We start from the raw sequence: 23,251 nt of genomic DNA, 5'->3' as shown, positions 1-23,251 counted from the left end.
GACTACTGAAAGATGGGAGGAAGGAAGAAGCCAGGGTACTTCTTCTCTTCTCTAGAAGCCTCAGAAGGTAGAGGTGGCCATTACTTTCCCTTACTGATTCTCACGCTTCCTCTGAGTGATTCTAGCTCCTAGACCCTAATACACCACCTCCAATTTGTCCCTGTAGCTTAGTGGCTCCCAGCTCTTGCTAATCCCTGGGTATCCTCACAGCTCTCCTGGTGTAACCAATTGTCCATATTAAATTTCCTGCTTCCAATATGTAGAAAGATTTCTGTTTTCCTAACTGGACCCTGGCAGATACATCAGCTCATCTCCCCATCCAGGAGTTCCTGAGAATGGTCGGTTTAATAATAAAACCAGTGAATGGGTGAATGGAGAAACATGTTTACTTATCATAAATCATGTTTATATTTATACTTTCCAAGACACTTTCATGGCTCTGGGAAAGTTATCCACTTTTCCTAACTAGGTTCCCCATCCCCAGTCCTCTTGTTCAAGTTAACCCACACTCAAGTCCTGCATAGCATCTGTGTCACTGACAGATGGTGAGATACTGGGTGTGGAGTGAGATCATCACAATCAGAACAGTTAGAGAATCCAGAAAAACTGAGAGTGTTGGCAGGGGCCCTTAGGACAATGGCAAAGGATCCATTATCCTTCTGCTCTTCAGGTCTCATATGTGACTTTAGCCAGAGTGAGGCCAATTTACAGTTATTCCTAGAGCCCAGTGCAATTTGCACATGATGAGAAGATGCACATTCATGGCCAAAGTGGAAGATTTGGATAACAGGCTGGCTGCAGAAATGCTCCCCTATGCATGAGGCCAGCACATGGCCGCATGGTCTCCTCAGTGCTGCCCAGAGCATTATTATATTTCCATATTGGTCTGGAGGCCAAATGAATAGAAACCAGGCATTTAAAAGGGATCTGGGAATGGCCAGCAGTTAACGCTCCCACTACAGTGGAGGATGGTTCTACCCTTTCCTGACCCATACATCTCTCAAATCACTTTGGTCCTTCTAAAGCCTTGGCTGTAAATGAGGCTGACCAGCTATTGAGAAGAAGCTTAGACCTAAAATGAGAAAAGGAAAATAATCCCACCAAATGAAATCTCACCAGAAAGGTAACATGTTTATTAAAAAAAAAAAAAAAAAAAAAAACAAACCAGTTATTGTAGGGTTAGCACTGAGCTAGGTAGAGAATGAGTAAGAACAAATTTCTGCCCTTGAAGGCCCCACTGCCTACTTGACAGAGACAGGCACATGGGCAGAGGGACAAAGGCAAGGTGGTGAGCTGAGCTGGAGTCCAGAGGCTCAGTGTATGGCCCATGCACAGCAGGTAAGAATACATGTTCTGGATGGGGCTGACCAAAGGCAAACCCCAGCCCTCCCACTGACCAGCCTTTTAACCTGATCTGCGTGACCCTCATTTCCCTGGGTCTTGGCTTTCTCATCTGTAAAATGGGGGGTGAGTGCCCACTCACAGTTGTTGTGAAAATAAAATGAGTTTATGCACCAGAAGTTCTTCATGCCTAGTCTGATGCAAGCCCACACAAGAACACTGGTGTTGTCATAATGGATGGCCTCTGGTGGCAGTAGTGAAATTCCTCCAACAGCTTTGTGGGCCCTGGATTGGAGCTGGAAAGAAAGACCATGGTGAATGCCACTTGTGATGGGTCCAGCTGACAGTCGGACTTGGGGGCCCTTGGGAAACTGCCTTTGAAGATCCTCAGAAATACTTGGGAGGGTGGTGAGTTTATGAAGGACTCACAGAGGCTACCATATGGATAGGAATAAAACCAGTTGTGTTGTTGCAAGACCAATTATGGGATGAATGATGAAGGAACTGTGGAAATACAGAACTAAGTAAATCACCTTCTGCTGTCATCAGAGAAGGCTCAATGCAGGGGCATCACTGGCACTAGCTCTGGAAGGTTAAGGGACATGGCACAGGTGGGTAACAGGTATGCAAGGGACAGCATTCCAGGTAGAGAAAATGGGATAGGCCAACATCCAGAGGCCAGATGCAGCATGGAGAGCTCAGAAATGAAGAAATTCAGTCTAGCAAGTATAGGGAGCCCAGTGATGGGAGCCAAGGCTGGAGAAGCACCAAGGGGCTGATTCTAAAGAGTCTTGTATGTCCTGGGAAGGATTTGGACTTGCCCCTGTAGGCATTAGAGAGTTAGAGGATGTTTTCCATGGTGGAGTGTCATGGTCAGATTTGTCTTGGGAAGATCAATCAGGTAAAACTAAGAAGACTCATTTGGTGTGAGGTGGGGGATTGAAGGCAGGGGGTACCCCTCCCAGGACTAAACCTACAACCCCCCATAGAGGGGAATGAGGGAACCACATTGATTGAAGGGATGTTTCTGAGGTCTAGTCATCTCCTGAGGTGAAGCTAGACTCTCATTCCCTTGATGCAAAGATTATGCCTACTTTGTGCCAGTGACCATCGGGCACCCACTGTGGGAATGCGTGCCTAGCAGGCATGCTCACTGAACGCTGTTGAGTGAGGCGTAGTCCACTGCACTTGAGAGGTGAAGGATCAATGGGAGTCAGGAAAGTCCAGGTTTTCTGCTCAGGAAAGAGGATGAGCTTGATGCTGCTTGGAGCAGGTTTGGGGGTCAGATCATTGATTAAATTATGGTCTTGTTTAGTTTGAGGTATCTATGAAACACCCAAGGGAGAAATGCAGCAGGTAGTTGGTTTTGTGGGTCACTGTGAGTCCTCAATCCATAGAACAAAGCCTAGCCCAACACACTGAGTAGGTGTTCAATAAACATGTGTTGGATGAATGAGTAAGTACATTCAGGAATGACCGGACTTCATGACTGTCTTTGACAAAGTGGGGGCGCTTGTTATTGTATTCCCTATTTTTTTCATGGCACTTGAGGGTATGAGTACTCATATGATTCAGCTGTTTGTTTAGTGCCTTACACCCTAACTAGACTACAGGTTCCGTAGGGTGAGAATAGTGTGAATTTTGTTCCCCGCTGTGTATCTTGGCCTAACCTAGACCATAGTGGAAATTAGGTAAGCATTTCCTGAATGGATGAAGAGACATGGATGTGGGCATGGGCAGGATGCAGGTGGAAGCCAAGAGAAAGGAAGGGAGCAGGTGAGCAGGGTGACCACATCAAGCGTGGAGCTTCCAGGTTCTGTTGCTTGTTTATAGCACTCTTCTCTAGACCTCCCAACTCCCTCCTCCTCTTCCACATGCCACACTCCCCAAATCCTGCCCTGATGAAATCCTTTCTCTGAGCTGCTATTCTGTCATTTGTAAAATGGAGACTCATTATGTGCCCTGCCTTCTTTATTAGCTGGCTGTGAGCATCAAATGAGGTCATTCAATTCTACAAATGTTTATATAGGTGATTAACTGCCACAGCAATAGATGCCTTTGAATGAATACACTGACCTCCATGCTCAGTTCCGCCTGGCTGATGTGCATGCAGATTGTTCCCCTGTGGCTTGAGTAGCATCTTCTGCTCTAGGAGACAATGGGAAACAGGATCTCATTGACACAGGCCACCTCCTTTCCCAAGAGCCCTTCATTTTGATGACAAAGGACTCTTACCTTGCAATATGAACAAAGGCCAAATGGCTTGTCTTCATCCAGCATCCTCATTCAGAACTAGCCAACTGAGATCTGTCACATGGGGCCATGGTAGTGGGGCCTGCCACATCCCACCTCCCTATAAGCTGTCACACCAGCTCTTGGCAGTGTGAGCCTGGGCTGCTGGCCACTCTGTAAATGTAGCTACATGAGGAAGAAAAATAGACATTAAAGCAGAAAAGGAGGTACGATCCCTAGGGCTGCTTTCAGGATGACAAAGGGTCGGAAACAGCAACTCCTGAGAGCAGGAGCCATGCCTTTGCAAACACTGGGATGTGCACATACCTGCCTTAAGTCCATGCAAGGGAGTGTGCAAGAGTGTGAGAGAGAAGCTATGCCTCCCCAACTCCTCATAAGGAGAAACAGTTCAAACTCTTAGACTTTGATAGAACTTTCCAACATATGTGAAATCAGCTACCTAAATTATGAGTCATAAGTCACATACCAATTGCTATGGTTTGAATGTTTGTGTCTCCTCCAAAATTTATGTTGAACCTTAAGAGATTTATACCTTATGAAAGAGCCAGAGAGAACTAGCTGGGCCTTTTTGAGCCCTTCTGTTCTCTGGAGGATGCAGTGTTCAAGGCGCCATCTTGGAAGCAGAGACCGGCCCTCACCAGATATGTGGCCCTCACGAGACACAAAAACTGCAGTCATCTTGCTCCAGACTCCTCGACTGTGAGCAATAAATTTGTGCTGTTTACAAATTACACAGTTAAGGTATTTTGCTGTAGCAGCACAAACAGACTAAGATACCAACTGACCTGCGGATTTTGTGGAGAGACCTACCACTCCTACATCCTAGTACTCTGAGCCTCTAAACATGGCTTTCATGTGGTATGTCTATGCCTTGAAGTCCAGACCCAAGAAAAACAAACCCAAAGAGAGACGGGGGTTCCCTGCTTGAGTTTTCTGTCTAAAGACTCACTTTTCTGGATGATGGAACATGGGAGTGATTGACATTGGAAAAGATTTCTTACTTCCAGGCAAGCCCCATCTTCTCCCCACAGAGGAATGGCGTTCCTTTGATCTCAACAAGACAAGCATATCAGAAAACATCTTAATAATTCATCTGAGTGATGCATACATAATGTAACTGGCATTAGTGGGGGAAGACCATTTCTTTACAAGAACCAAAAGGGTTGCTACATCCCTAGCTCCAAGCACAGCACCTGGCTCAAAGCAGGTGCTGAGATTCTTATTAAAAGACAATTAAAAGAAAAGCAACTTGTCTTGGTCATGTTTGCTTAGCATCCTTCAAAAAAGCTCTTACTATATTATTACACACTTATTAAGATGTTTACTTAGATGAGCACAAAATTGAGATGCGAGCTTCATTCAAGGCAAAGGAGAGATCAGCTGGATTAAATGTTTTTCAAAAACTGGTAAAATGGAAGCAAGACCTTTCTTGAACCCACACACCTCCAAGATAATTCTAGGCATTTTATCCTTAAATATTTTATCTTTAAATAATTGTATACCTTATACGAATTGTCCCATGTTTCTGTCCTGATTATCCATCCCTTCCTAGCTTCCCACCTGCCCTGTCTTCTACATGGCTATTATCTTCATTTCATATCATCCTTTTTACCTGTTTTTTTAATGGTCCACTCCCTCAACCCCTTTTGCAGCCGCCATGGAATGGAGGAAAGAGCAATGGATTAGGGCAGGGCAGAGTTCAGATGGAGAAACAGAACTGTACTCTCCGCATGGCCAGGACATCTGCCTAACCTTTCTGAGCCTCACTTTCTTCATTCATCAACCAGAGATAGCATCTCTTATCTCACAACATTGTCATGAGGAATAGAAGAAAATATATGCAACTGTGTAGCCTGCTACACAATAGACTCTCAATAAATTTCACTTCTTTCATCTTTCCTTCTCTCCCTTTTGAAAGCAGTCAGGATATAAATTATACATAAATAAATTACATGTTGTGCTGGAAATCCTCAGAAATGATTAATCTAACCAACAAGAATTATAATATTAATAATAGGTTACTCTAGCAGCACCAGCCTAACTCTGACAATCAATCTACACAGTCTGGCTTTGTCATCATATAACATACAGTGCTCAAAGTTTACCTTAGAAAGAGGTGAGGACACGTGATTTCCCATTTTCAGATCTGTTTTAAATGCTCCTTTTTTTTTTTTTACATCGGGGTATTCTGTTTCACACCATTGCTTATGATACAAAGTGTAAGTAATATGTTTGCTGAGAGAGGAAAGACTGAGACATAATAGGAGACACTGCAGAGCTCCAAGCAGAATCTGAGATTGAAAGTAAGGTTTGGAAACATTAAGAATGTGCTGGAAATACTGATTTCTGCTGCTCAGTTCCCCGAAGAATGGATGGGCCCTTTTTGGAGAGTATGGCACGTCATCCCTGCTACGCAGAGGAGCAAACTGGAACTAGGGGCTTGAACAACTAGAAATATCTAGAAGATTTTGAGCCAAACTTCAGCCTAAGTATCTGCTAAGCTTTCTCACAGACTACGTTCAAAATTGAGTTTGGAAAAAACTGCTTCAAAGAACCCTTCAAGCTCTCCAATGCTGTGAGTTTATGATTCTGTATTTCTCTACGATTTAAATAGAAGCAAACAGAGCACCTGTGAGCATGGTCTCTGAAGTCAGCCTTCCTGGATTGAAGTCTCTGATCTTCCACTGGTTGTGTTACCTGAAGAGGAGACTTAACTTGTATGTGCCTCAGTTTCCTCTGCTGGAAAATTAGGATCATAATAAGGACTAAATAAAATGATGCTCGCAAGGTCTGGGGCACTGATCCCAGCAGGCAGTAGGTGCTCAGTCAGTCATTTCTTTATACATGATTAAGTGAACCTTCCTGGCTTTAGGCCAGTAAGATCTGCCCTGGCCTAAAGCTAGCAGGAGGTCACCAAAGCACCTTGGATATAGCAGGATTTCATACATCTTTACTGAATTGAAATATTTATTCATAAGGTGTAGTGATATCTGTTGCAACTTAGGTCAACCTTCAAATTTCCCATCCAAAACTTTCCCCACAATGTCAGCAATTTGTACCCACCTCTTCTGCCTTCACCCTCCCATGTAGTCATGTATGAGTTCTCCTTATAGCAAATGAATACAAGGATCTGCCACTTATGGGATGGGGGCCCATGAGAAAACTGGGATTATTACAGGGAAATAAAATGATGCTACTTCATTTGTATATCCAAGTGCTACATGGGCACTTTGACAATGACACAGCCACCAACCATTGAGGAGGAGAGGGGAAAGAAAGAGAGGAACTGACATTACTGGTGTTTACTCATTGCTAAGCAACCCTATCAGGAGATTTTCCCATGGCCATTTGTCCTTAAGCCAACGCTGCCAGACTCTTGTTTACTTTTACAGATGAGAAACATACATCTCAGAGTTGACTTTCCCAAGACCAGCAGCTAGTGGGGAAACTGAGTTTAGCACCTAGAGGATCGTAAGACATACAGCAAGGGATCCTCTGCCATTCCAAGAGTCATAGCTCTTAAGCCGACTGGCAAAACAGTACCCACCCCTAACAGCTACCAATGATTAGTGCCTAGGACCTAGCACTGTAACTAGCCAGAAACCAAAGCAAAATGCGCAGACCTCCCAGGAAGGCGGAGATGAGAGTCCTGCTGCCCTGCTCCACCCACTCTGCCAGTGTAGGCTGGCCTGAGGCCACTAGGGGGAGCCCTTGCACTAGGAGCAAAGGGAATTTGACAGCCCAATTATCAGTTGGGACTGCGGGGAGGGCTCCAAGTTCTCCCGAGAGCTTCCTCCACTGTTTTATTTACAAACTTATACACATAGGAGCATGAACCAGAGTGCTAAGGGAAAGTTACAGATGACTTTTGGCCTGGGTCCCCTTTAGCTTCAGAAATAGGCCCCCCAACTGACTGGGAGCAGAGTCTACACAGCAGTGTTGGCCAAACAGAGAGTCATGAAGTCAAGAAAGTGCTACCATTTATTTAATTCAATGGCATGTCATGGCTCAGAACAGAATGGAAAATATCAGCACGATTACACAAGGTAAGAGTGAGTACTGCTTTGGGGAGTTTTTCTTTTAGCTGATGTGTATGTGTGTTGAGGAAGGATGTAAAAGGTACATCTTACTGTGAGTCATTCATTAATAAAGTTTAAAATACATAGACCTCAAAGGCTTTTATAAAACCCAAACTGCCAGTCCCTGGGCCAGAAGCATTGATGCAGTGTTTTGTCTGGGACTTGAATCCTGTATTTTTGATAGATTCCCAGGCAGCTCTGGTGATCAGCCAGGTTTGGGAATCACCTGTTAGAGGAAATGGCCCTCAGGCGGGGTCTCCTCACCTGTGCTCCACCCCGCCTCTCCCTGGTCAGGACAGGAGAAGATTTCTAAGAACTTGACAAAGCAAGAAAAGTCACACCGGTTACACATAAAGCAGGGCGCAGGCCACCCACTCTGCCCATCCCCAACCCCGGGAGAGCTGAAAGCCCCAAAACTGGCAACTGAGGTTTGGGTTTCCATCTCCAGCTCTGTCAGAAAAACAAACAAACAAAAATAACCCCAGCAAAATAAAATCACTTTAGAGTCAGCCAGATCTGGGTTCCAACCCTGGCTCTTCTAGTTACTACCTATGTGACCATGGGCAGGTGTTACCATCTCTCTGAGACTCAGTTTCCTCACTTTTTTTTTTTTTTTTGAGACGGAGTCTCACTCTGTCCCCCTGGAGTGCAGTGGCATGATCTCGGCTCACTGCAACGTCTGCCTCCCAGGTACAAGCAATTCTCCTGCCTCAGCCTCCCAAGTAGCTGGGATTACAGGCACCCACTACCACACCTGGCTAATTTTTTTTATATTTTTGGTAGAGACAGGGTTTCACCATGTTGGCCACGCTGGTCTCAAACTCCTGACCTCAAGTGATCCACACACCTCGACCTCCCAAAGTGCTGGGATTGCAGGTGTGAGCCACTGCACCCGGCCATTCTTCACCTTTTAAAATGGGAATCCAAATGCCTCAATAAACACCAGGCCAAAAACAGGGTGCTCCTTTATGTTAACTCCTTTTCTGGCCTCCACTAAATCCCCCTGTGGGCTTAGGCATGCTGTCCTGCTGGGCTTTGGTTTCCCTGACCGTGAGAAAGGGTTTGTGAAATTAAGTAGCCGTCTGCAGGGGCGGAGCTGGCAGAGGTTGTTACTAACGGGGATCACACTGTCCAGCCTGCATGGTCTGTACTAACAGGAGCCTGCCATCCCCATTCCTTCACAGCTCCTGCTGCCTGGGCACAAATGCCCTGGAGAGTGAGTGACTGTCAGACCAGCCGGAGGGGAGCAACGGGAAGAGCCGCTTGCTGAGAAGAGGTGGGCTTGGCAGGACTGCAGGTGGAGTACTCTCCCCAGTCCCCTGCAGGTGCTGGTCTAAGCCAAGCTGGGAGGATGGCGGCCGGCCCTGGCCCAGCCCCAGGCAAGGGAGGAGCCTCGGCCCAGATGGGGCAGGTGGGGAGCCTGGGCTCAGGTGTGTCCTGTGGGAAGTGATTGCTCCCTGGCTAGCAGAGACAGAGGAAAGCGGATTGTTGGCCCCAGGACCCAGCTCTGAGAGGCTGGGCTTGTTTCCCTGACTCTGCCTTGGAGGAAAGCAATGGAAGGGGTAAGGCTGTCTCAGTTTTGTTGCTGGCTTTCTGTGTGTCTTTTCTTGCAGGACAAGTTCCTCCCACTTGAGAGCCCTGGGGAAAAACTGCTTGTGTGTGCTGCCTCCTGGGCAGGAATAAACATGTCAGGTGTCAGCCAGTGCATTTCTGCTCACACTGGCTTTGCTCAGGGCGGGTGGGAGGGAAGAGGAGTGTGCCATGTCCTGTGCCACCTGGAGTGTGAGGGGACAGGAGGTGCTGAGGAATGACAGCATGTGGCCTAGCTCTACCCAGCCAGCTGGACTCCTGACCTATTCCCAGATCCTCCGTTGAAGCGCCCGCTGGCTTCTCTCTGTGTTTACTTGCCCTTGTGGACTGTATCTGGCCTCTGCAGTGATTAGCGGGCCTCCTGGTCAGAGAGCAGTGCTTGGTGCTAGGAAGCCGGCTGTGCATTGCTCTTTTGTGGCTTGTGGCTCTAGACCGGGTTCTGCTCCTTGTTAACTGTGTGGCCTGGGGCAAGTGTGTCCGTCATCCTGAGCCCTGGGTCCCTCACTCATGAAAGAGAATTACTGGTACAATAACTACTTTGTGAGACTATCAGAGGTGCTTGTATAAATAGAGATGTATGGAAAAGTATCCTGCCCTACGCCAGCATTCCCTGCCCCTTGGATGGCTGAGTGCTGTTGGCACAGTTGGAGACGTCTTGCCTGACTGACCACATCTTCCTTTTTCCTTCTCCAATTCTCCACTCTCCTCTATTTCCGTCTTCAGTAAGTCAGTTTCTTTTGATGTGCGTGTGCATGTGTGTGTGTGTGTGTGTGTGTGTGTGTGTGTGTGTGTGTGTGTTGCTTCCATACTTTTTATTATATATTTGGAGTCAAGTCATTTTCTCCCATGAATCATGTGGCTTCTCACCCACAAGTTTGGTTTTAAATCAGGGCAGAGGATCCATTTTAGCTTTTGCTGGTCAGGAAAAGCTCCCCTTTGTCTCAGGGCAAAGGGCATGTTTCTCTCTGTGGCAAATCACTCCAGTCCAAATAGCTGAGTTTTGGAAAGGGGTGAGCAGGGGCATGTTGGTATGACTTCATCTCCCTCCTCTGAGTTCTCCCCGCCACCCCCACCTCGACCATACCACTTAGCAATTTTTAAGAAACTCCTCCTTGACGGGAAAGTGCCAGGCTGAATAGATTTAGCGTGCTTGTAAGAAAAGGAAACTGACTTACATTTTCCCCATCTCTGATGGGCCAGGATCCGCACTGGCATCCATTATTTCAGTTTATCTGATGACAATACAGTGTGGTCTATGCCATTGCCCCATTTATTGTAGATGAGGTAACTGACAATGTTATCACTTGCTCAGTATCATACCACTGGCAGCAGAGCTGGGACATGAGCTTACATGTGTCAGTGCCAACTATAAGCCAAGCATCGCTAGCAAGGATTACAATAGGACAGCAGGAAGAATGTTAGGCAAATTAGACAAAAATGTACAAAAGAGCATGTTTGTTAGCTAATCACATTTTTATGGGATAAGCTAATATGATTATATAACTTTCACTGCTCAGAGAGAGAAAAAAATCAAGAGAGAAATAAGAGTGGTTTCTCATCTTGAAAGAAGGATTGGTTTCATTTTTTAAAATTAACAAAATATTCATTTATTCAATATATATTTATTGAGGACATGGTTTGTGTGGTCAGGTCCTGCTTTGGTGCTGCAGATGCAGCAGTGAACCAAACGGTTGAAGATACCTGCCTTCCTAAACCTCATATTCTAGTGAGAGAAGACAAAAAAATCTATATATGGGTCAAATGGCAGTAACTGCAATGTAGATACACAAAGCAGGGAAGGGTATAAGGATGGTCAGGCAGGAAGAGGGACTGCTATTTTCAATGAGACCATTTCAAGAAAGGTGTCAATGGAAGGTGGCATTTGAGCAGAAACTTGGAAAAGGTATAGGAATTAATGGGCTGTGTGGATATCTTAGAGAAGAACATTCTACAGAGAAGTAACAGCAGATATAAACGCCCTGAGGCAGAAGGTCGTGGGTGTTTCAAGGAATGACTGGAGCTGGAGGAAGTGAAGGAGTGTTCAGAGAGTGGGGTCAGATGATATAGGGCCCTGGAGGCCATTGTTGAAACTCAAGCATTTCCTCTGAGCGAAATGGAGAGCCACCTGGGCATTGTGGACCAGGCAATGACGCAATCCAGCTTACATTTTAAAAGGATCATCTGACTACTGTTTTGAAAATAGATACTAGGGACAGAAAGTGCAGAAGCTGGCTGACCAGGTAGGAGATTATTGCAGTAATCCAAGCAAGAGAGGTTGGTGGCTCAGACCAGTCTTAGCAATGAAGTGGCTAGAAGTGGTCAGATGCTGGAAATAGATTAAAGGTAGGGTCAGCAGGATTTACTAATGGATTAGACAAAAAAAAAAAAAAGAAAATTGTTGATGACTCCAACTTGTAAAGCTGGAACATCTGGAAGAGTGGAATCAAGGTTTACCAAGATGACTTAACACAGAGCAGGTTTGAAAGCAGATTAGGAATTGGTTTTAGACGTAATATGTTTAGGGGGTCTACATAGGTGGGTTTAGAGTTCAAGGAAGAGGCCCAGGCAGGAGGTATCATCTTGATAATATATCTACATTATCTAGAATAGCACTGGGTGTGTAGTAGATGTTTAGTATGTGTTATATGGGGGATTTTAAAACTTGGCCTCACATTCTCTGACATCTTCCCATGAAGAGGTGGTGCCCATGTTCCCATCCCTTGGTTGAAATCATGACTACTCTGACCAATACAGTGTGGTACATGTGACACTCTGTGCTTTCAGAGACTGTGTCATAAAAGGTCATACCCCATCTACCTCATTTATGAGAACACTTACTCTTGCAGCCCTGAGCTCCCATGTGAGTAATCTCTACCCCAATACTTTCTGGCTAGAGACACGTGATGTAGACATTCTGCTTGACAGTTACAGCTAAGCCTAGCCTTCTAGCCATTCCTGCAAGACTAAAATCAGTACCCTCCAGACTAGACCAGCCACTGGTGAGATGCAGCCAAATGACTTTTACCAACACCCTGTGGAACAGAGGGAGAACTCAGCTGAGCCTCGTCCAAATTCCTATCCCACAAAATTGTGAAATATAGAAAAATGCTTTTTGTTTTAGGCCACTCAGTTTTGGGGTGGTTTGTTTTCATTAACAGATATCAGGACAATTATATATATCCTTCTTTCTGTGTAGTTATTTAAAAAGTCATTCTCTTCCCATAGACATAAGGTTAAAGTGAACCCTATAGAATTTTGTTTTATTGTATAGTTTAGACACCCAAAAAGGTTGATGGGTTTTTCTTTTCCTAAATCAGAGGTATAGCCTAGTGCATGCCCTCAGCCAGGTAGGTTTTCACTTAGTTATACAGTCATTGCAAGGGATAATTGTAGCATTTTTGAGCTGGGAGAGCTGGCCAGTCAGGGAGCTTACAAAATGGTGCTTGAATTTTTGATGAATGAGCATTGGAGTTGTAGTTGAAGTATACTTAAGTTTACTTTTGCCTCTTATAAGTGATTTGCACAAGTCATGGAATTATAAAATATAGGAGGTGGGAGAGTTCTCAAATACCAACCAGTCTGGAAACTCCCATTTTACAGGGAAATTTGAGCCACAGAGGCAGAAAATGCCAACACACTTCATAACGACTTATCCAGTGTGCCCCATTTACAGTGGCTGCTCCATGAATGTTCTTGTTCAATTTGAGGGTAAACTCAGAGTCAGATCTCCTCAGTAGACTCTACTCTCAGGCCCTATCTTGGAATTTCTGAGAAGGGCCCTATCCTAGATGCCATCTAGTTGTTCAGCTTTGCCGGGAAGAGTGTCAAGGAAACAGACAATTTTCATATTTGATGAAAAGTAGATTGATGGAGGAAGGCACAAGCTTTGATGGAAGCACTGAGTATGGATGCTTGACAAGGGGTGGGGTTCATCCTGGGCTCCTTAGAGAAGCTGGTGTCTTAGCTGAATGTCAGAGGAGGAGGAAGTGGCATTTCATCAGGGAACGCTCGAGTGAAGGAGGGGGAGAAGGCAGAAGGGAGAGCATGGGCGGAGCAGCAGAGATGGGTAATATGGCAGGGTGATAGTTGGGGATAGTTGGCAGCAAGGTGCTACTAGAGCAGAAAGTTTAAAAAAAGAGTATCCAGAGTGGAATCCCAATAAGCAAATAGGATCTGGATATTGAAAGGCCTTCAATGCCATATATACTTTATCCTGTAAGCCAAGAGAGCCACTGAGAGGCTTCACCTCTAAGATGGGAGGTCCAACTAAATATCACTGAGGTCTTGTCATGCTCTGACATTCTGGGATGGCAGTATGTTCCCAAGGTCACGCCTGGCTTATTTTTGACAGAACCCAGGTCTAAATGTCTGTGAAACCCCATGTAGGCTTCAAGAGCAATTTTGGAGGGTTTTTCATGAATAATTCCATTTTTAAGGAATAAGTCACAAGATAGGGTAACATCTACACAAGTGGACCTGCTGAGAGGATCTGTACTATAAGGATGGTCTGCTCTTAACTAGCTTGTTCTTGGGAGAGTAGACTGGGCCTGGGTTAAGTTCAGATAATTTAGGGTGAGGCTTTTTGTGAGTTCTGGGAGAATTTCTGAGAAGGAGAAAAGGAAAGATCACACAATTAGTCACAAGTCCAAAAGACTGGGCACATCCTGTTCATCTTTGCTGAGATGCTGCACCTCAGAGTCCTCTTGAATTGTGTTGTTTAGTCCTTGACAGTGACACATTAAGTGACCTGTACTACTGGAGGGCTGATGTCCTTTTCAGCCAGCCTTATGCAGCAATGCTGACTTCAGCATTTAGCCTGGCATTACTTTCCCATTGAGTCAAATCTTCCCTTCTCCAAACCACACACCCACATTTCCCCTGGGGAGAAATGGTCCTAAAAGGAAAATCTGATCATGTCAGTCTACTGCCAGATTTTCTCCAGTTGTTCCCCATTGCCCACAGAGTACAGCCCAAGCTCTGTGGCCTGGATGATAAAGCCGAGGCACTCTGGTGCCTGCCCTGTATACTCTAACTCGAGCCTCCTCACCCGCACCACATCCCTCATGTTCCAGTTTCCTAGCCTGCTGCATCTCCATGCACATTCTCTTCTTCAGAGTGCTGAACATCACTTCATTTATGACTCAGCTCAGACAACACCTCCTTGAGAAACCTTCCCTACCCCTTGGCCACAGTTGGTCTTTCCCTGCCTTGCAAGAGACCCTAGGCCCTTTGATCAGACCCAGGTCTAGACTGTGAGATCCCAGAGAGCAAGGATTTTTTCTTGCTCACAGAGGCAGAAAATCCTGGTGCTTAAGAGCACAGACTCTGAGCCAGCATGACTGGTTTACATTTCTGGCTCCACTGTTTACTAGTTGTTCAGTGTTGAGCAAGTTAATTAATTTGTCTGTGTCCCAGTTATCTCATTTATAAAGGAAAAAATAGTACCTATATCTTAACATTCAACCAAGGTTTGAATAAATTAATATGTTTAAAGAGCTTAGAACAGCTCCATGAACTCAAAGTGCAGTTAATTCTACAAACAATAACTTATAGTAATAACAGGTGGACTCTTATGGGTCAAATTGTGTCACCCACCCCTCCCAAACTCATGTTGAAGTCCTAACCCCCAGCACCTCAGAATGTGACCTTATTTGAAGACAGGTTCTTTACAGAGGAGATCAAGTGATATATTTTGGCTGTGTTCCCACCCAAATTTCATCTTGAACTGTAGCTCCCATAATCCTCATGTTTCATGGGAGGGACCTGGCAGGAGGTAATTGAATCATGGGGGTGGGTTTTTCCTGTGATGTTCTCGTGATAGTGAATAAGTCTCATGAGAGCTGATGGTTTTATAAAAGGCAGTTTCCCTGCACACACTCTCTTACCTGCTGCCATGTAGGACATGCCTTTTCCCTTCCTCCTTTGCCTTCTACCATGATTGTGAGGCTTCCCCAGCCATGTGGAACTGGGAGTCCATTAAGCCTCTTTTTCTTTATAAATTACCCAGTCTCAGGTATGTCTTTATTAGCAGCGTAAGAACGGACTAATACATCAAGTTAAAGTGAGTTCATGAGTAGGGTTAATCCAGTATGACTGATGTCCTTATAAAATGGGGGAATTTGAGCCTGGAGAGATGCACAGTGGTGAGACAATGTGAAGATACAGGGAAGACACCATGTGAACATGAAGACAGCCATCTACAAGCCAAGGAGAGAGGTCTGGTACAGATCCTTCCCCAACAACCCTCAGAAAAGAACCAACCCTGCTAGCATCTTGATCTTGGACTTTTGCCTCTAGAACTGTAAGGCAATACATTTCTCTTGTTGAAGCCACATAGTCTGTGGTACTTGCTGTGACAATCCTAGCAACTAATAAGTGAACCGTATCAGCAAATAAAATGAGAGAATTTATGTAAATAACTGTGTGCACTACTCTTCCCCCATCAACCTGGGAAGTGTTTTATATCATGTTGTTATTTTGACCTTTCCCAAGAGAAGAAATCTGAGAAGTGTTTATTGCCCCTCAGCATGGAAAACGGACAGAAATGATCCTGCGACCATGGTCAGTGTTCCTCCCTGATCACTGACTTCTGGGTTTTAGCTTTTCACATCTGTAAAACCTGAAATAACAAGCCCCTGGGGAGATTTTTAAAGATTAATCAAAATAATGAAACATTTTGTTAGGACCTATTAAATACAGAGAAGTTACAAATAAAGTGCTTCAGAAATAATAATTAAGCAATTTTGTATCATAATACTGGAAAAAGTGGTGGTTTTACTTATTACTCTTCATGGTATTGTTACTGTTAATCATCTTCCCCATTTTACAGACAGAGTAGAATCAGTATTCAAATTCAAACTGTGTCTAACTCCAGAGTCCCCATTCCTAACCGTTAGTTTGGTTCTTTTTACCATAGTCATGGTGAATGGCATATAGGACAGAGGTTTTTAAAAAAATCTTTAAACTGGAAACCTGAATTTGAGTCTAGGTCTGTCATCTACTTGAAATATGACCTTGAGCAAATCACTTATCTTCTGTGAGTTTCAGATTTCCCATCTCTAAGTGTGTCTAATAATAACTACTTGTCTACAAAATTATATAGAATAATGTATTTGAAAGTACTATGAAAAGGATAAAATCCTAGACTAATATTCATAGTTGTTGATATAATCAAAATTCTCCAATCCAAAATTTGTAGCAGAGCTGACATCAGAATTCAAACCACTTTCTGAGCCCTCTACCCTCCACTTTTGATGAATTAGCCAATGGCTTACCTCAAAGACCAGAGTGTGATCTTAGGCAAGAAAGAAAAAGGAAAAAAAAATGGTTAGGAAAGGTTTTTAACAACTGAAAAGTCGATGTAGAAAAACAAAGCAGCATTATCACTTAAACTTTTAAAAGATTAACAGGGAAGAACCACCTTCCACACCCTTTTAAAAAAATCATCCAAAAGTGTATGTTGCTGCTGTTTTTGTTTGTTTGTTTGTTTGTTTGTTTGGTCCATTACAACAACCTTTTCTCCAAGTTGTGGTTTGGACGAAATAGCATTGGATTGGGAGTCTCAAGACCTCTGGGTGACTTTGGTCTTTGCCACTCATGCCTGTGTAAGGCAATACATTTCTCTTGTTTGAGCCACATAGTCTGTGGTACTTGCTGTGACAACCCTGTCTTGTTCCAGTGACTGTCTTGAGTCATGGTCCACCTGGAGCAAGGGCTGGCATCATCTCAACAATGGCTGGGTTGTTGACAAACTGCCTGGAGGTAATCTCTGGAATTTCACAGCTGGGTCGCCATGGGCTGGTTTGTTTCAAGATTAGCCCCTGGAATTTCTAAGTAAGCACATAATTAGATAAGCTGGCAGTGCAAGGGAGTGTCAGGTGGGAAGGGAGGGAAAGAAAGTTTTAAAGTGTGTTTCAAGGCTGAAAGCAAGAAAGGAAAAACTTTTAAAATGCATTTTGAAGCTAAATTTCTTGGTTACAATACCACTATTCTAGAGTTTCTGAGAGAGAGAAACTCGTATAGAATGTGTGCTTTAAACCTTCAGCTTCTGGGTTTGAATCCCAGTGCTACCACTTTTTGGCTGTGTGAACTTTGGCAAGTTATTTGACCTCTCTGATTCTACCTGCCTGATGACGGTCCCTCCCCTAGAGCATCTATGATTTAATATATAGAGAACATTTAGAATCATGCCCGGTGCATACCTGCGCTCAGTGAGTGTTAGCTCTTGCTGCTGTTGCTGTTGATGATGATGATATCCACTGAAGGAGTTCACCATCTACTGAGAAACAGAAAAGTAAACAGATATTGATAATAAAAGATGGTAAATACAGTGATAGAGAAACACAGAGGATGTGAAGGATCGTGGAAAGGGGCAATGTATTCCAAATACAACTCCCTTCCAAAAAATCAGAAAAATGACAACATCACCTGACATTAGAGTCTTATTATTTCCTCTTGTTAATTAACCCAAAGAAAAATCTCTGTTAAAGTTCCATTAAGCTGTGCGTTCCAGGCAGCAGTGCCTGATGCATTTTGCCCTTCAATTATTCTGGCTCTTTACATGAAACTGGCATCTCTCAGCTAAGTAACAAAGTCTGACCCAGTGCCCATATGACCAACTCAAGGCCATCTCCATTTGGTTTCCTTAGCCCTTTATTTAAAGAAAAATCTTGCTAAAATTCTCTTTGATATCTTTCAGATTTTGCTGAGAGAAAAAGGTAGCCTCTGGGAGGGAGTGGAAAATGGGTGTGTGAATTGAGTCTAAGTCTAAACAGAGCAGAACTAAATGTTTACAGAGTGGGTCCCATGCCCCTTGTTCTGTACTAGCATTGTTAGCTGCCTCGGTGGGAAACAGGGGAGTGAGGGGAAGAGGGTACTTCATAGGGTAGTTTCACAGAATGACTAGAGCCAAGGGGTACAGACTGGAGTGAAAACTCCAAGAAAACTTCATGGAATGAGTTCATGTCCGTGAGTGCAGAAGAAGGAGGCAAAATTGGAGCATTTCTATTACTGGAAACTAAAATGCCACCTAACAGAACTGATACAATTTTTCCATCTGAAACCATCAGGTTGATTAATTCTGAACATATTTACTGAACATGTACTCTGCCACAGTCATTTCATCACTAAAAATCACCATGATCATCATGATAATCACTGTCTTCCTCTTCTTCCTTCTTTCCCTCTTCCCCCTCCTCTTTCTCTTCCTTCTCCCCTTCCTCCTCCTTCTTTCTCTCCTCTCTCTTTATCCATATCACAACTATCTTCAACAAAATATCATTATCGTGGGTTTGCTTTGTGTCAGGCACCAGGCCAAGGTTAATGTCTATGGCATTCCTAGGATGTGAAAAGCTGTATCCCCACTTCACTGATCAGGAGGTAGGAAAAGAGAGAAGTGAAATAGCTTTGTAAAGGTGAAAGAGTCAGAATTCGGAGAGGTAGGATTTCACCTTAAGACTTTTAAATCCAAAGCCCATGTTCTTAACCCTATTGCTGCACTTGAAGTTGCTCCTAGTCTAGGGAGGAAGGGGAAAAAATGTAAAAAAACAATTAGAGTGTAATAAACACTGCAATGGAGCAGGGACAGGAGCTCTAGGAGCACAGGGAGTGGCCACCCCTCACTGCATCCCTGATGGAAAGTTTCCTTGGGGACTTGCAGCTGGGTTGAGTCAAGTAAAACAAATATTTTTCAGACAATAAACATGGGTAAGAGCATTCTGGAAAGAGAGTGACATGTGTGCAAAAGCATGGAGGCATTCATTCCTTCAGCAAATATTCACAGTGTCTTCTCTGCTCTGGTCACTATGTTAGGAAACCCAAGAGGGAATAAAGGAAGAGCAAATCTAGTGAAGTGGATGAACTAGAAGAGGTAAGACTGGATGTAGAGAAAAAAAAATTCAGAGGGAGAGAGAAGAGGAAAATAGCTGTTAATAATATACTTGTATTATGTTTTACAATTTACAGTGCATTTTCACATGTCTAGAAGAATACCTTGTACATAGTTGGCACTGAACTAGTAATTGAACGAATGATCTCTGTAGACCTTTAAAGTTACCCATTTGCCTAGAAGTTCTGTGAGAGCAGAGAACATTTGTTCACCACTGTCACCACTGAAGTCTGCAGTGGGGCCACTGAGTTGCACAACTCCAATAGGTGCTGTTCACATGGTGGCCAATGTGAATGGTCTCTGTGATCACAATGTGAATAGTGATGTAGAACTATTGTATGCTATATTTATATCTATATATGTGTATGTGTGTGTGTAACAACATAATAGATGCACAACTTGGTAGCTTGGGTTCACATCTAATATAGAGGATTAATATTTATTGATTAAGCTAATGAATGAAGAAGGCAGGCAGGAAGTCTAGACAAAGATTACCATCATTCGGCTTTCTCTCCATGCAAGGATCATTAGTGAAATCTCTGCTGTAAACCAGCATATCCATTTCACAGATGGGGATGAGATATAACGTGACCTTAGAATACAGATCTACTCAGTGCTCTCCTAGTTAATGCTTTTCTATTACAGCATACAGTACACAGTTTCTCTTTAAAGCTAGCAGTGCATGGTTTCCTCCAAAGGGCCAAGGATGCTTCTTTCCTAAGAAACCAGCTAGGCTGCAGAATGTGTTGCTGGCCCCTCACAGCTGGCAACCTCCCAAGGTGAAGGAAATTGGGAGCTGGTGCCAGGAGTCTTTGTCAGGTATTGGTGTGTAACTAATTGCTGCTGTAAACCTTTCTCACAAGAAGGTCTGGCTTTGTAAGTTCTTGGAGTAAAGAAGATCCTGAGGTTTACTGAGTGGATTAGAAGAATACATATTTAGAAAGCAGAAAGGCTGTCAAGCATCAATTTTGGCTGAAAACATTTTGTCCCAGATAAAGGGTCTTTCAAACACCCTTTAGTTGCATTTCTTGACTGCTTGCAGCCAAGAATTGAGGCTGTAGGAGTATACTAGAAAGAGCTAGGGGATCAAGGTCAGTGGGTCTAGTTCTGCTATTTACTAGCTCTTTGGTCTTAGTCAAGTAAGTTGACTTGAACCCTCCAGCTTTAATTTCTTCATCTGTAAAATGGAGTTCATCACTTCTCTAATGCTGTATAGTGGCAGAGTAAACAAAATAATGTATGAAAAGGGCCTAACCCAGTGTGGTATAGTAAAACAATCTTGAGTATTGGAATCTGACCTCATTGTTAAATCCAAACTTACCTCTTGACAACAATGCAAACTTTGACAACACCAGTAATAATAATGATGGCAATAATAATCATAAGTAGCTCACATTTCTAGAAAATATACTATTTACCAAGTACTGTGATTCACACTTAACTTGGATTGTCTGAATTAATTGGCAATACAGTAAATACTATTATTGTTGCCATTTTATTGATGGGAATGAAAGTTAAAATCATCTAGCTGAAAATGAAAGGGCAGGGATCCAAACACAGATATCTGATTCCAAAGTCCAGAGCATAGTTTTCAATCCCTAAGCCAAACTTACTTTCTCTCCAAGCCTCAGTTTCTTTATCTATAAAACGGGAATTCCAACGCTTACCAATCTTGCTGGGTTGTTAGAAGAATCTGAGGTTCTATCTCTGAAGTGGAGATGCACTGCATCTACTGCAGTGGTGCAAGCTCAGTAATTAGTGGGGTGTGGTAATGGGTGACATAGAAGTAGCAGAGGCAATAATGATGAGCATGATGATAATGATTGGCACTCCAGATCTTAAAAATGACTTCCATTGCTAGTATTGGAAAAATAGGGTCCTGAATAGACAGAAAACCAGACAGGGGCTCCTTTATCTTCTTTAAAAAGCAAAAACATCTAACACCTGTAAAACCTGCCCCAGATGCATTTAGAATGGTGTCTCTGATTTCTTTTACTGTTTCTTCATGCAGCTGGGACTCTAATATAGAAAACAAATCTAAGAAATTAAAATGGCCACATCGGCTGAGGAGTTTACATCATAGCTGTGGAGTAAAAGCAATAAAGTGGCTCACAGAGGTTATTCAACCCTTCTTTTTTCAGTTTTCATTAAATTGCACTTTAAATAAAACTGTCATAAACCTAAAAGACACTGAGTGACTGTTCTGTCTGCAGCAGGAGAGGGCAGCAGGGAGAGCAGGAAACCCTTTCAAATAAGGACGCTCTGTGGTCGGTTTTTCCAGCTCCCTGGCAGGCAGTTTCTAGTGAAGCCTCCTGTTCTAGGCCCAAGTTGCAATGCTGAGTGAGTGTGGGGCATGTAATCAGGGATGGGCTGTAATTGGGTTGTTGGAGGACTTGGCATGTTTGCAGAGATCATAAATTCTGACTTCAGGCCGTGATCCCCAGGCTGCCAACTAAGTTAAACTTGAGCCTTTTGCTGAAAGCTATATTTTGAACTTGGCACCTGAGGGTATATATGGCCCAATTTTTCCTCTGAAACCCTTACCCTCACCACAAAATGCAGTTAAATGTTGCTTAAGTTTTAGTATCGAAGCAATATCAACCCATAGCATTTTTTGGTTTTGGCTGATTTCCTAAAAGACATCATAAACCCCATTTGTTTGCAATGAATAGTTATCTCCCTTTGTTTTTCACTTTGCTTTGGGGGTTCTCTATAGGCCTGTGCCTTGAGTGAGGGGATTTGAAGGTTGCAAAATATCATTTTGATATTCATGATCTCCCAGTATATTCTGTGAAGGAATTTTGAACCATAAATATGTAAATTTGTGTTGTTAAGTTTGTTTCTAGTGGCCTGTGAGACCTTTCAAGGGGCCACCCTAGCCCTATTTCTCCTTCTCATCTCACATTTCAGCCACACTCCCCACTCCAGAAACCCACACATGCCAGACTCTCTCAGGTTCAGGTCTTTGAAATGCCATCTCCTCTACCATTACTTTCAATGGCAAAAACCACAATTACTTTGCACCAACCTAATATAATCTCATTCCCCCTTTTGACAGCCAAGTTCCTATTTGTTCTTTATGTCTGTCTCACTTTCTCTGGAAAGTTCTCTCTGTCCCCAGTCTGGTTAGGTGTTCCCTGTCCTGCCTCTGGTGCTGCTCCATCACAGCAGGGACCTCAAGGTGTTGTCATCGTCTGTTTATGTGTCCATCTTTTCCATGAGACTGTGAACCCCAGGACAGCAAGGCCTGTGTCTGCCTCATGCATTTATGTTACCTGTAATAGGAATACAACAAATAATTGTTGGATGAGTCTGGAAAAGATGAGAGGAAACACTGTTATTAAGGAAAAGGCATGTCGTATAGCATAGAGTTGATTTTAAAACACCACAGATGTATTAGTCCATTTTCATGCTGCTGATAAAGACATGCTGATAAAGACTGGGTAATTTATACAGCAAAAGGGGTTTAATGGACTTACAGTTCCATATGGCTGGGGAGGCCTCACAATCATGGCAGAAGGCAAGGAGGAGCAAGTCACATCTTACATGGATGGCAGCAGGCAAAGAGAGAGAGAATTTATGCAGGGGAGCACACCTTTATAAAACCATCAGATCTCTTGAGACTTATTCACTATCATGAGAGCAGCACAGGAAAGATTTGCCCCCGTGATTCAATTACCTCCCACTGGGTACCTCCCACAACATGTGGGAATTCAAGATGAGATTTTGGTGAGGACACAGCCAAACCATATCAACAGGCTTTGGTGTCAGGGCTGGGTTCAGATCTTGGCTTAGCACCCATTTGCTATGTGTCCTGGTAAGCTTCAGAAAGCTCTGATCCTGACTTTTGTCATCTTCAGGGGGCACAGCTCAGAAGCCAGTTGTAAGGATTATGGTAATTGAGACAACATACACGACAACATACACAAGCTGCTATGTGCAGTGCCTGGAAATGCATTAACATAATAAGCACCTTTCATTTTCTTTTATCAAGAATTACTCCCAATTTTTCCCCAGTTACCCTACCCACAAATATACAACAAATGCTTTCTAATCTTCTCAGTTTAATTCAAAAGGACACGTATCGTCCATCTACTCTCTG

At 43.6% G+C, this 23,251-nt stretch overlaps 1 protein-coding gene across 18 annotated transcripts in view, besides 1 other annotated feature; it reads left to right on the top strand.

Annotated features, from left to right (window-relative positions):
- Positions 1-1,602: 1,602 nt before the first annotated feature.
- The window catches only part of FYB2 (FYN binding protein 2), a 108,126-nt gene continuing 86,477 nt past the window's right edge, over positions 1,603-23,251 (top strand). For 16 of the 18 annotated variants that reach the window (XR_007095697.1, XR_007095698.1, XR_946570.2 and 13 more), the window contains exon 1: positions 9,113-9,235. Coding sequence is in view for 11 of the 18 variants with exons in the window: in XM_047448403.1 (XP_047304359.1) it covers positions 9,227-9,235 (9 nt within the window). In the remaining 7 variants the exon portion in view is untranslated. Of the gene's footprint in view, positions 1,750-8,797; positions 8,950-9,112; positions 9,236-23,251 lie in introns of those variants that run through there. The other 2 variants (XM_047448402.1, XM_047448401.1) reach the window with 2 other exon arrangements.
- Positions 12,040-12,089: an enhancer, noted in NCBI's record as "active region_1079". NCBI's record gives its function as "activates an Ori minimal core promoter by ATAC-STARR-seq in GM12878 lymphoblastoid cells {active_cell/tissue: GM12878}" and the evidence as "EXISTENCE:reporter gene assay evidence [ECO:0000049][PMID:35858748]".

Source organism: Homo sapiens, chromosome 1 (genome assembly GCF_000001405.40).
Source record: "Homo sapiens chromosome 1, GRCh38.p14 Primary Assembly".
NCBI lineage: Eukaryota > Metazoa > Chordata > Mammalia > Primates > Hominidae > Homo > Homo sapiens.
The sequence above is the reverse complement of the archived record's forward strand: the minus strand, read 5'-3'. Positions and strand labels throughout refer to the sequence as shown.